This window comes from Homo sapiens, chromosome 1 (assembly GCF_000001405.40).
Source record: "Homo sapiens chromosome 1, GRCh38.p14 Primary Assembly".
In the NCBI taxonomy this organism is placed as follows: Eukaryota; Metazoa; Chordata; class Mammalia; order Primates; family Hominidae; genus Homo; species Homo sapiens.
In genome coordinates this window covers 155,938,121-155,950,673 of record NC_000001.11, presented here as the reverse complement: position 1 = coordinate 155,950,673, position 12,553 = coordinate 155,938,121, and the positions used below count along the sequence as shown (strand labels likewise).

The following is a 12,553-nucleotide window of genomic DNA, read 5'->3' as shown; positions in this document are numbered from 1 at the left end:
AGATGGGTGCAGGGGTGGAGGAAATTAACTCGGGTCGTGGTGCTGAAAGAGGCCAGTTGGTGGTGGATCTCCTGAAGGGGACTCATGGGTGAGCCCCAGGGGGGAGAGCTGCTGCCTTCAGCCAAGCAGAACCTCCAATCTTCACACTACTCAGTCCCTGACCTGCTGTTCTTCCTGCCCACTGTCCACAGCCCAGCCGAGGCACTGACCGCCTGGATCTACCTGTCACTACTCGCTCTGTCCATCGAAACTTTGAGGACCGAGAGAGGCAGGAACTGGGGAGCCCCGAAGAGCGGCTGCAAGACAGCAGTGACCCTGACACTGGCAGCGAGGAGGAAGGTAGCAGCCGTCTGTCTCCGCCCCACAGTCCACGAGGTGAGACCCTGGCGGAGACATGGACCAGAGGTAGAGTGCAGCCTGGGTACAGGCCATTGGGCTGTGGCTTCCAAATGGGCCCTAACTGACCTGTGAGGCTTGTAGTAACTCTAGGGAGGGACTTCCTGTTTTGTCTGATGATGAATGGGTGGTGGAAGTCTAGGAAGCAGGAGGGGCCTCTCTCCTCCAACTGGTTGGTGATTCCCAACCTTTAGAAGTAAAAACAGATTCTTTTTTAAAAAGGCATGGCGGCTCAGGCCTGTAATCCTAACACTTTGGGAGGCCAAGGCAGGAGGATCGCTTGAGCTCAGAATTTTGAGGCCAGCCTGGGCAACATAGTGAGACCCACCTTCTCTACAAAAAAAAATTCATTTATTTATTTTTTTATTTTATTTAATTAATTTATTTCATTATTATTTTTTGAGATGGAGTCTTGCACTGTTGCCTGGGCTGGAGTGCAGTGGCGTGATCTTGGCTCACTGCAACCTCTGCCTTCCAGGTTCAAGCGATTCTCCTGCCTCAGCCTCCCAAGTAGCTAGGATTACAGGCGCCCACCGCCACGCCCAGCTAATTTTTGTATTTTTAGTAGAAATGGGGTTTCACTATGTTGGCCAGGTTGGTCTTGAACGGCTGACCTCGCGATCCACCTGTCTTGGCCTCCCAGAGTGTCGGGATTACAGGCATGAGCCACCACGCCTGGCTAAATTTTTTTTTTTTTTGAGATGGAATTCTCACTCTGTCGCCAGGCTGGAGTACAGTAGTGAGATCTCCGCTTACTGCAACCTCCGCCTCCCAGGTCCAAGTGATTCTCCTGCCTCAGACTCCCGAGTAGCTGGGACTACAGGCACATGCCTCCACGCCCAGCTAATTTTTGTATTTTTAGAAGAGATAGGGTTTCACCATGTTGCCCAGTCTGGTCTCAATCTCTTGACCTCATGATCCGCCTGCCTTGGCCTCCCAAAGTGCTGGGATTACAGATGTGAGCCACTGCACCCGGTCTATTTTATTTTATTTTATTTTATTTTATTTTATTTATTTATTTATTTAAGATGGAGTCTCACTCTGTCACCCAGGCTGGAGTGCAGTGGCACAATCTCAGCTCACTGCAACCTCCACCTCCTGAGTTCAAGTGATTCTCCTGCCTCAGCCTCTCGAGTAGCTGGGATTTACAGGCATGCACTACCACACCTGGCTAATTTTTTTTGTATTTTTTAGTAGAGATGGGGTTTCACCATGTTGGCCAGGCTGGTCTCGAACTCCTGGCCTCAGGTGATTCACCCACATTGGCCTCCCAAAGTGCTGGGATTACAGGTGTGAGCCACCGTGCCTGGTCCCCCAAAATTTTTTTAATTAGCCAGGTGTGGTGGAGTGAGCCTGTAGTCCTAGCTACGGAGAGTGAGAGTGAGGTGAGAGGATCACTTGAGCCCAGCAGGTTGAGTTGACAGTACTCCGTGATTGCTCCAGCCTGGGCGACAGAAAGAGACCCGGAGACCCAGACAGAGGATCTCACTCTAAAATTTTTTATGTTAGAGAGAGGGTCTTGTGCTGTTGCCGAGGCTGGACTCAAACTCCTGGGCTTAAGTGATCCTCCCAAGTAGCTGGGGCTACAGGTACATACCACTGTGCCTGGGAAGGTATAGTTTTTTGTTTTGTTTTGTTTTGTTTTTTTTGAGACAGTTTTGCTCTGTCACCCAGGCTGGAGTGTAGTGGCACAATCTCAGCTCACTGCAACTTCCACCTCCCAAGTTCAAGCAATTCTTGTTCCTCAGCCTCCCGAGTAGCTGGGATTACAGGCGCATGCCACCACATATAGCTAATTTTTGGCATTTTTAGTAGAGATGGGGTTTCACCATGTTGGCCAGGCTGGTCTCCAACTCCTGGCCTTAAGTGATTCTCCCACCTTAGCCTCCCAAAGTGTTAGGATTATAAGCACGAGCCATGGGGCCAGTTTTTAAAGTAAAAAAAGTTTCAAAGAACTTCAAGTTTTTACAGTTGGTTCATGAAATAAAAAATTACCAAAAGCTTTAACCTTAAAGTATTTTGTATTTTCCTAATCAAATTGTATCTTTGGATACTGTAAAAGTGTATCCGGTACCTAGGTATGGATACCTTGCTTACTTTGTTGCCAAAGGTTTTCCTCTCACCCAAGAATTTACAGAACCCTGTCATCCCTTCACAGCCCCAGAGCCCCCTGAGCCTGCAGATGGGGAGGCATTAGTCTAGGGGTACAGTTCCTCATGGGAGTCTCTGCTAACTCACTGGCTTTGTCCTGTCCCCCTTCAGACTTTACCAGAATGCAGGACATCCCGGAGGAGACGGAGAGCCGCGACGGGGAGGCTGTAGCCTCCGAGAGCTAAGGGGGCCCCTCCCCCCTGCCCCGTGCCCCACTGAAGAACATTACTGAGGGGGCTAACCTTGGGGACTCCAATTTGCCAATGATGAGGGAACATTTGAAAGAACTGCAAATTGTCCTTGCCAGCTCTTGGGATCCTTGGATACCTGGGGCCATTTAAGAAGCTAGGGGAATTAGGCCACAACACCCCCTGGGACATCCGAAAGCTACACCACAGATGCCAGTGGTTCATGCCTTCTTCCCGCAACTTTAGGAAAATTTATTTATTTATTGTTTATTAGTTATGGGGGGAGAGGGGAGATTTAAAGGACCAGGGACATGGGAACCAAGCCATAGGGATCAGAGGGCCTTGTCCTTGAACACTACTGGGGTATATTCAGGCTCATCCACGCAGCTGCTGGGTTCTTGCCCTAACGGCCCTCCCCTGCAACATCCGTCTTGGAGGAGAGGCTGCAGCCACAGCACCCTACTGCCCTTTAAATAAAGGAGGGCTGTGGGCAGGGCCATGTCCCTTTCTCCTCTCCCCTCAACCTCTTACTGCTGTTCTCCCTTTCTCCGTCCTTCATGGAAGCCCTGGGAGATAACCTGGCTTCCTGGAGTTGATGGAATAAAGGTTGGGGTGGCCATAATGGTTTGTTGGGGGTGAGGGAAAAAACCCACAGGGACCAGAATGTTTTGTTGTTCTTTTGTTTTCTTTTTTGTACCAAAGTCAACTGCACGTGTTTTATATTTTTAAGAGATCGTAGGCAATTAGAGATCGAAGCCTCCTATCTCCACATCTCTGAAGAAGTTGAGGGGTGGGGGAGAGAATGACTTCTGCCTTCATCTGCAGTAACGGGGGGACCTATACTGACCTCTTCCCCAGCCATTTAGAAACAAGTTCTAGGGTGGGTTGGAAAATCTCCAAGAGCCCTGACCTCATCTTCCACCTCAGCAACCATGACCTGAAACCTCAGCGTGAATTTGGGGGATTTTTCAGTGGAACCCTTGCCCCCAAATGTCGACCAGCCCCCAAATGTCGAAGAATTTTCTTCTTGCCAATTTTGTTGTTTAAAAAAAAAATTCAGGGAAAATTAAAAACCTGGAACTCCATAAGGTACTGTCTTCCATAATGTCTGCCAATTCTGAGGAGGATGGTAGTAGAGAGCCGGGCAGTGACCTAAGTTCCTCTGAAAGGGGCCTTTTCCTCTCACCGCAAGGACAGCCTCTGCCTCACTGAAGAGAGGGGGCACTAACAAAAGTAACCACTGCAAATCTTTTTTTTGTTTTTTTAATTCACAAATACAAGGATAAAAACAAAGGGGCACACAGGTTCCAATGTTGGGAATTCCGGTATCAGGAAAAGTGTGTTCATCGTATTTGTATGCCATGCTCAGCAATCACCTCCACCTATTGCCCCCATCCCCAGTGTCATTCATTGTCAGATCCATCCCCCACTAGGCCCTTGTTGATCTCCATGATGTCGGGCCCTGGGGTTACCCGTCACAGGAGCTGCTCATTTACTGTCCCTCTTTGAGAGGCAGTGAGAGATGAGCTGGTTTCAGTTCTTGGTTTTAGTTGGTTTTACTTCCTGTTCCCAGTTGGTACTTACTTTGGGGCTGTGGGGGAGGGGAGGAGGTGAGAGTCTAGGGTTGTATAAATGCTGGTATGAATTCACATCCCTGTTGGAGCCTGTGGGGTCAGATCAGGAGAAGGGGGCTCAGGCCCTCAGCTAGAAAGAGGAATTGAAGTCACATGGGGAGCAGGCTGGGGGAGCAGCCAGCACCCTCCCCTTCTGTAACTCTCATCCACCAGCATCAAGCCTTTACAAGGTGCTTTCTCAGCCATTACGGGGATCCTGAGAATGGGGAATTGTTCTCATTTTATGGGCCGGGAAACCTAGGTGCACGAAGCTTGCCAGGCCAGGAGGGGGCCGGCCTTCTTAGTTCCAGTCCACCACTTTTCTCTCTTGGCTACTCTGCCTAAAAATACCAGGGCTGGCTGGGTGCAGTGGCTCACGCCTATAATCCCAGCACTTTGGGAAGCTGAGTTGGGTGGATCACTTGAGGCCAGGAGTTCGAGACCAGCCTGGCCAACATGGTGAAACCCCATCTCTACTAAAAATACAAAAATTAGCCGGGCGTGATGGCGGGCACCTGTATTCCCAGCTACCTGGGAGGCTGAGGTGGGAGAATTGCTTGAACCCGGGAGGCAGAGGTTGCAGTGAGCCGAGATTGTGCCACTGCACTCCAGCACTCCAGCCTGGGTGACAGAGCAAGACCCTGCCTGGAGAAAAGAAAAAAAAAAAAACACCAGGGCTTCACATTTCACACACAGGGACACAGGGCTCAGCAGCTGTCTTCCAGGTCAGCTGGAAGTATCTCCGACCCAGAGCTGTGAGGGTGGCACCTTTAGGTGGGGAAGGAAGGTAGGTGGGGGTAGGGTGAGGATATTAGACAGCATGCAGAGACCACCAAGAAAGGGGAATGCAGGCTCTCCCAGAATGCCCCACAGATCCAATGAGAGATGCTGGTCAGCAGAGAACATGGAAACCTGGAGACACAGCCCAGAGTGGGTGTGAAGTCCCCCGCTGCTTTCTTTGAAGCAGTGCTGTCCCTTCTGCCACCCCGTACCAACCCCCTCCACACACACACACACACACACACACACACACACACACACACACCTTCAGCCCCAGAACATGGGGCACAAGCATTTGTCTGATGTGTCTACTCCTGAGAGCTAGGCCTCTTCCTCACATCTTTCACCGTTGTGTCCCCTGTCCCCTCCCTAACCCACTTTTGGGAACCCACAGTCTTAACCTCTGTCCCTCCTGCTGAAGTTTCAAAGCCATTTGGCTTGGTGTTCCAGGGAGCCAGGGCCCAGGTTCTCACCAAAACATTGCCTTCCCTCCGTTCCAAGGGGAGCTCCAGGCCGCCTGCTCTGCCCAGCCCTCCCTTCTCCATCCTCCACTGCACCCTCCTCGTTCCACTCCCCCACAAGAGTAGGTCTTTGTGCATGCAGTTCATCTCTAACTTGGACCTGTGTACACTTTGTCAATATTTACCTCTGGGGCCCATAAAGCAGAGATGCCCCCAGAGGAGCCAATATCCGGAGCCCAGCAAAGCCATCAGAGGGAGCTGCTGGGGTGGGAAGATGGGTGCTTAGGTGGTGAGGGATTTTCCATTGCCTGCATGGGCTAGGAATAGACGTGGAGTTTTGGAACTAGTTTAAACATCATCAAAAAGAGGAAATTAAACAAGAGGCTAATTAAGTTCCTTTCACATTGCTTAATCTGTTGTGAATTGGGTGCCTCTTTGGAGCCTCCTCTGCCCAGCAATTAAAGGAACTGGGACAGGGGGCACCTGGAGGCACTGTGGCCTCCCCCTTCACAGGGCGCTCTGCACTTAATAAGGCGGCACTGCTCCCAGCTGCTGCCCCAGGAGCCTGAGCAGCCTGCGTCCTCATAGGTTACAAGTCATGCCAGAGAGCTTGGGGCGGGGGGCGGTGGGGGGGCAGTGGAAGTGGGAGCTCTACCTCATCTTCCCTCTGCCTCCCTCCTTTCTAGGGGCTGCCTCCTAGAAAATCCTTCTGATGGCTAACCTTTATCATTGATGCATCTCAATACAGGAACCAAAGAGGAACCCCTGTCCTGGAGAACACACCTTCAAGAGGGGCTTAGGGGCCAACCTCTGAGTTCTTTATGTGAGACTTTCATTATACCCCACTTCAGAGCATATACAACCATTCCAGCTGAGACATGGTTCCCCATCCCCATCTCCCAGCTGCACGCTTATTTCCTCCCATCTCTCTGTCTCCATTTTACACAGGGTGTAAGAATAATAGCTCGACCGGGTGCGGTGGCTCACGCCTGTAACTCCAGCACTTTGGGAGGCCGAGGTGGGCAGATCACTAGAGGTCAGGAGTTTGAGACCAGCCTGGCCAATATGGTGAAACTCTGTCTCTATTAAAAATTACAAAAAATTGGCCAGGCATGGTAGCGGGAGCCTGTAGTCCCAGCTACTCGGGAGGCTGAGGCAGGAGAATCGCTTGAACCCGGGAAGCGGAGGTTGCAGTGAGCTGAGATCACACCACTGCACTCCAGCCTGGGCGACAGAACGAGACTCTGTCTCAAACAAACAAACAAACAAACAAGAATAATAGCTAACAGTATATTTCACTGTTAAATCTTTAGTAGCCCATTTTACAGTTGAGAACAGTGAGGTACAAAGAGGTAAAGTAATTTGCTGGAGGTAAAGCTGTGAATCCAGGTGCTCTGACACTCAAATTGATACTCTGGGCTTTGCATTTGGGGCAGGGAGGACTAGCACCACTTTCTGAGGTCTCTGCTTTTCTGGCTCTACCTGCAGCCTGTTCTCCCAGCCCCCTCCCCTCTTTAATCGCTCACCTCCCTTCACCCCACCCATGTCTTTGACTTGTCATTATCTTCACTTCTTTCAAATCCTGATTTAAAGGGAGACACACAGGCACTCCCGTCAGCACCAGGGTTTTACACCCAGGGCCTGGCAGGTGCTGGAAATTCCAGCAATACCCCACACCTGGCATCCCTTCAAGGGAACTACAGCTTTTGCAGCTGAGGCCTCTGCAGGCAGCAAGTTTCAGTGGTCACCACTGAGATGGTAAGGTGAGGACAGGGGAAGCTGGCATTTTTGGCCTTGATACCGGAGAAAGACAAGGGATACCCTGTTTTGAGGTGGGGGGTGGGTACAGAGAGAGATGGGCACTGACCTCTGATTCATTAGCCTAGAACCCTTAGGGAAGTTTTCCTAGGTATTCTTGCAGAAAGCAGAAATGGAGCAACGAATCCTTTTGTTCCATACTGAACTGGAGGTGGAACTGGGATAAAAGGTCAAGACAATTTGTGGATAATCCAGAGGTTTATTCTCAGATCCTCTTCTTTCCCATCTCCAAATAAAGACTTAAGCTTTGTCACATCCAGCTCTGATCTGAGCCCCCGCCTCCCCCATTCACCACACCCAGAGTTGGGGATCAAAGATCAGACTTTTCCCTGAGGGCACTGCAGCCTGGCAGAGAGGGCAGCTTCTCCCCAGGACTCAAGGATCCTACACTTGGTGGATCTCAGAAAGAGGAGTGTGTTCAGCTTGCGCCCTTCACCCGGGTGTCCCTCTGTCCAGGTTGGTGAGCAGGGTAGAAGGGCGGCTCTCCCGGGGGTTGCTTGCGACCCACCGCCTGCCTACCTGCTTTAGGGCCACCTGTTGCACCCAGCCTCCGCCCTGGGGCCACAGCCTCAACCGCAGATCCCTGAAGGTGCCTGCCAGAGCCTGCCGGGGCTCCCGCCTCAGGAGACAGTACAGCACAGGGTTGAGGCAGCTATTGCTGTGTGCCAAGCAAGTAGTGACAGGGAAGACATACGTCTGGATAGTATAGAAAGTACTGTTCCAGGGCACCAGGTCAAACTTCACCAGGACACCCCAGAGAGTGACCACATGGTTGGGAAACCAGCAGAGGAAGAAGGAAGCCACCAGGATGCGGACAGAGCGGGCCACGACCCTGCTGTCCTGCCGCCGCCGTTGCCGCCGCTGCAGGAAGGCCAGCAGCAGCAGGTAGCTGGTGGTGATGACGCCCAAGGGCACCATGAAAGCCAGCACCACCCTCTGCAGCTGGTAGGCCCCCAGCCAGTACCTGCTGGGGAAACGCAGCAGGCAAAGGCGCACACCACACACCTCACCCTCCACCCCGAAGACAGCTGTGGGCACCGTCACCAGGGCAGCCGCCGCCCACACTGCCAGGGTGGCTATTCGGGCCCAGAAGAGTGAGAGGTGGGTGCCTGGCCCCGCAGCCATGGCCACCACCCAGTAGCGAGCAACGCTCAGCGCTGTGATGAGGAAGATGCTGGCATAGACGTTGAGGACAGTGGCCGTCAGAACCATCTTGCAGAGGGCACCTCCGAAGGGCCAGTGAAAGTCCAGTGCCGACTCGGCTGCCCAAAAGGGGAGAGTGAGTGCCAGTCCCAGGTCCGCCAGAGCCAGGTTGAAGACGAAGGTGTCTGAAGGTGGGCCAGGGGCTCTCCGGGCACAGTTACTCAGTACCCACAGCACCGCCAAATTTCCCAGCAAGCCAATGGCCCCCACAAGCCCATAGGCCAGGGCAACCATGAGCCTCAGGGCTAGGAATTTGACAGGCATCGGAGCATCATCAGCACTCAGCACACTGCCTCCGGAGGCATTGGCCCAGAAGAATGTGGGTGGAGAGGCAGAAGTATTGAGTGTGGGCATCGCAGGGCATCAGAGATTGGTGGTGCTGAGAAGAGAGGTCTGCAAGTGTCTGCCAGACTGGCAGAGGCCACTGAAGGCTCTAGGAAGGAGGCTGTAGAATTAAGTGCTTCTCTGGGGCCTCTGGTGAGCCCTGGCCCACGCCCACACCTCAGAGGGAGGGGTGTGGAAAGGACAACCCACCACCTTCCTGTTGGTCAAGATTGGTGGTAGGTGGGGCAGGGCGAGGCACAGCCTGAATGCCAGGGTATATGTGCATGCGCCCGCCTGTAAGAGGGGCTCTAAATGGCAGAGAGGGAGGGGAGAAGGGAGAGTTACCCCGCTATGGAGGGCAGCCCCAAGCCTCCACCCCAGGGAGAGAGCTGGAGGTTCCCTGTCCCAGAGATGACAGGAACCAAACTAGAGCTGCCTCTGTTCCTAACAGTGCAGAGGCCTCCCTCCTCTGCAGAAAGTGTTCCCTTGGGGCCCAAAGCAAGGGGCCTGGGAGGTGGCATAGAGGCAGGGAATCAGCATGGGTGTCCAAGAGAGGAAAGAGCGGAGGCTGCGGAGTCCCAGACCTGCTGCTCACTAGCCGTGTGACTGGGAGAGTTACTTTACTCCCCTAAGCCTGTTTTCTTGCTTAAAATTTTCAGGTAAGTCTGCTTCACAGGAGTGGCATGATGCAATGAGAGAACACATGTGAAATAGCAATTTGTATGAATATTATTTCAAAGGAGAAGTTTGGGGTGTTTGTGGCAGAAGGGTACTGAGAGGCTATTACCATGCCCAGGGAACAGTGCCAACTAAAACAGGTTGGAATTCATCTCAGCAGCAGTGACCTTGAGGCTAAGAGCAGGGAGGGAAAAGAGAGAGGAAGTCACAGCTTCCTGTTTCCTCCCCACTGGGAACACTGGGCCTATGAGGGCCTGTGTGGACCTGGGCATGCCCTCAGTTCTGTTCCTGCTCCTGATAATTAAACATTCCTGCTAACCTCTATCGCCGCCTTTCCCCCCTTTCCTGCTCTAGTCTGTGGACAGAGCTCAGCGGTCCCCCTACTCTCTCCTGCAAACCCCATGTCAGAGCTAAGGATCCTGAGATACGCCCTCACCACACCTCATCCTGTCTCCCCATGATCTCAATCATAACTGGAAAAAAAAAATGCTTCATTGGGCCCTCCCCTTTCATTGCCTACATCTCTACCTACTGCAGAAGGAGCTGAGGTGGGGACAAAGAGAAGGCAGGAGGTGGATAGGTAAAAGAGTAAGGCTTTCTCAAGGATTCCAATATATTCAGCCCCTTCTTGCCCTCTGCCAGCTAATTAAGATAACGTTCGATGTTCAGTTCCTTTGGAGTGCTGAGGGAAGAGAGGGGCCCTTTGCGACAATAAATCAGCAGTGGGCTTGTGAACACATAGGAGAAACCCAGAGGTGAGAGTGATACAGGCTGGGTGCCAACATGTTGGGGCTTTCGAACCAGGGATGAGTATAAAGGGGGTGGCAGAAGGGGAGTGCCCAGCCCAAGGTCAGGTGAGCCCCACAGGCTACCTTCTGGCCTCATGGCTGCTCCTGTGTGACTGTGTCATCACTGTCTCTCGGGGCCATGTCTACTCCTCTGCCCACCCAGAATCACCCTGCTAATCTGGCAATTAAGATAACTGCTTGGCCAGACGAGGTGGCTCATGCCTGTAATCCCAGCACTTTGGGAGGCCGAGGTGAGCGAATCACCTGAGGTCGGGAGTTCAAGACCAGCCTGACCAACATGGGGAAAGCCCGTCTCTACTAAAAATACAAAATTAGTGGCGCGTGGTGGCGAGTGCCTGTAATCACAGCTACTCGGGAGGCTGAGGCAGGAGAATCACTTGAACCCGGGAGGCAGAGATTTTGGTGAGCTGAGATCACACCACTGCACTCCAGCCTGGGCGACAGAGCGAGACTCCATCTCAAAAAAAAAAAAAAATTTTTTTTCTTTTTTTCTTTTTTTTTTGGTTGAGAAGAGGTCTCACTCTGTCACCCAGGCTGGAGTGCAGTGGCACAATCTTGGCTCAGTGCCTCGACCTCCCCAGGCTCAGGTGATCCTCCTACCTCAGCCACAGGAATGTGCTACCACACAGGCTAATTTTTGTATTTTTAGGAGAGATGGGGTATCCCTATGTTGCCCAGGATTGTCTTGAACTCCTGGGCTCAAGCAACCCTCTCACCTCACCCTCCCAAAGTGCTGGGATTACAGCCATAAGCCACCACGCCTAGCATCAAAAATATTCTTGAAATGACCTCAGGTGATCCTCCTGCCTTGGCCTCCCAAAGTGCTGGGATTACAGGCATGTCAGGAGATCGAGACCATCCTGGCTAACATGGTGAAACCCCATCTCTAAAAAAAAAAAATACAAAAATTAGCCGGGTGTGGTGGCAGGTGCCTGTAGTCCCAGCTACTCGGGAGGCTGAGGCAGGAGAATGGTATGAACCCGGGAGGTGGAGCTTGCAGTGAGCCGAGATCGTGCCACTGCACTCCAGCCTGGGCGACAGAGTGAGACTCCGTCTCAAAAAAAAAAAAAAAAAAAAATCAGCTGGTCATGGTGACACTTTGGGAGGCTGAGGCGAATGGATTGCTTGAGCCCAGTAATTCAAGACCAGTCTGGGCAACATGGCAAAACCCCATCTCTACAAAAGATAACAAAAAATTAGCCAGGCATGGTGGTTCATGCCTGTGGTTCCAGCTACTTGGTTCCAGCTACTCTACTAAAAATACAAAACAACAACAACAAAAAATTAGCTGGGCGTGGTGGCGGGCACCTGTGATGTGGGAGGATCACCTGAGACTGGGAGGTCAAAGCTGGAGTGAGCTGTGATCATGCCACCGCACTCCAGCCTGGGTGACAGAGTGAGACCCCCGTCTCAAAAAAAAAAAAAAACCCACAAAAAACAAAAAAACACTGGGTAACCTCATGGCAATCCAAGCACATGGCACAAAGTATAGCCAGGCCTCATAGGGGCTAGAAATGGGGCTATACACTCTAATTCTTTTTGAATAGCTGCTCCATTATTCTTTTTGAATAGCTGCTCCATTATTCTTTTTGATAGATTTCCCCTTGTAAGAAAGTGGAAAAATATTTCTAAAACTATTTTTAGAGGTGACATCAGAATCCCTCACAGGAAATCTCCTTGTTTGGAAAAATTATTCAATAAATGCTTGAGGTAGTACCCCTGGGGTGATGTGGTGAATACTGGAGACACTGAGAAAGCCCACCCTCCATCTTTTCTTTTTTTCCCATCACAACTCCTACTGCTGTGGGAAAGAATATTAGGCCAAAAGAGCATGACCCGGTTTGGCATTTTCCAAGGTTGGGCTGATCTAAATGAGTTTGAGGGAGATACTCTGGAGACAGGTATGGGAATGTAGCACCACCATCTGGAGAAAAGGGGACTGAATCTTAGCTAGAAAGTGCCACTGAAACACAGGGGGAGTAGCAAGGAGAGGAGACTGACAGAGAGGTTATGGGACCTAGCTCTATGGATTTTATGTGCTCTCCATGGTGTCACTGCTTTAGAGTTGGTAGTAAATGACCTAATAATACCTAAATGACCACTAGGAAAGAATAATTGATTCATATGTCAAT

At 51.5% G+C, this 12,553-nt stretch overlaps 2 protein-coding genes across 7 annotated transcripts in view, besides 2 other annotated features; one reads left to right on the top strand and one right to left on the bottom strand.

Annotated features, from left to right (window-relative positions):
* The window catches only part of ARHGEF2 (Rho/Rac guanine nucleotide exchange factor 2), a 32,764-nt gene extending 28,944 nt beyond the window's left edge, over nt 1–3,820 (top strand). For 3 of the 6 annotated variants that reach the window (NM_001350112.2, NM_001350110.2, NM_001350111.2), the window contains exons 21-22: nt 192–405; nt 2,659–3,820. In NM_001350112.2, the coding sequence (NP_001337041.1) occupies nt 192–405; nt 2,659–2,732 (288 nt within the window). In that variant the 3' untranslated portion in view covers nt 2,733–3,820. The remainder of the gene's footprint in view (nt 1–191; nt 406–2,658) is intronic. The other 3 variants (NM_001162384.2, NM_001162383.2, NM_004723.4) reach the window with 1 other exon arrangement.
* A 3,766-nt stretch (nt 3,821–7,586) lies between these two features.
* Nucleotides 7,587–9,036, bottom strand: RXFP4 (relaxin family peptide/INSL5 receptor 4). Its single transcript, NM_181885.3, has one exon. The coding sequence runs from the start codon at nt 8,962–8,964 to the stop codon at nt 7,840–7,842; it is 1,125 nt and encodes a 374-aa protein (NP_871001.1). The 5' UTR covers nt 8,965–9,036; the 3' UTR covers nt 7,587–7,839.
* Nucleotides 8,483–8,982: an enhancer, noted in NCBI's record as "H3K4me1 hESC enhancer chr1:155911483-155911982 (GRCh37/hg19 assembly coordinates)". NCBI's record gives its function as "activates a minimal SCP1, AML or CMV promoter by ChIP-STARR-seq in primed H9 embryonic stem cells {active_cell/tissue: H9 hESC(primed)}" and the evidence as "EXISTENCE:reporter gene assay evidence [ECO:0000049][PMID:30033119]".
* Nucleotides 9,302–9,596: a silencer, noted in NCBI's record as "tiled region #2022; HepG2 Repressive DNase matched - State 1:Tss". NCBI's record gives its function as "represses a minimal TATA promoter and a strong SV40 promoter by Sharpr-MPRA in HepG2 cells {active_cell/tissue: HepG2}" and the evidence as "EXISTENCE:reporter gene assay evidence [ECO:0000049][PMID:27701403]".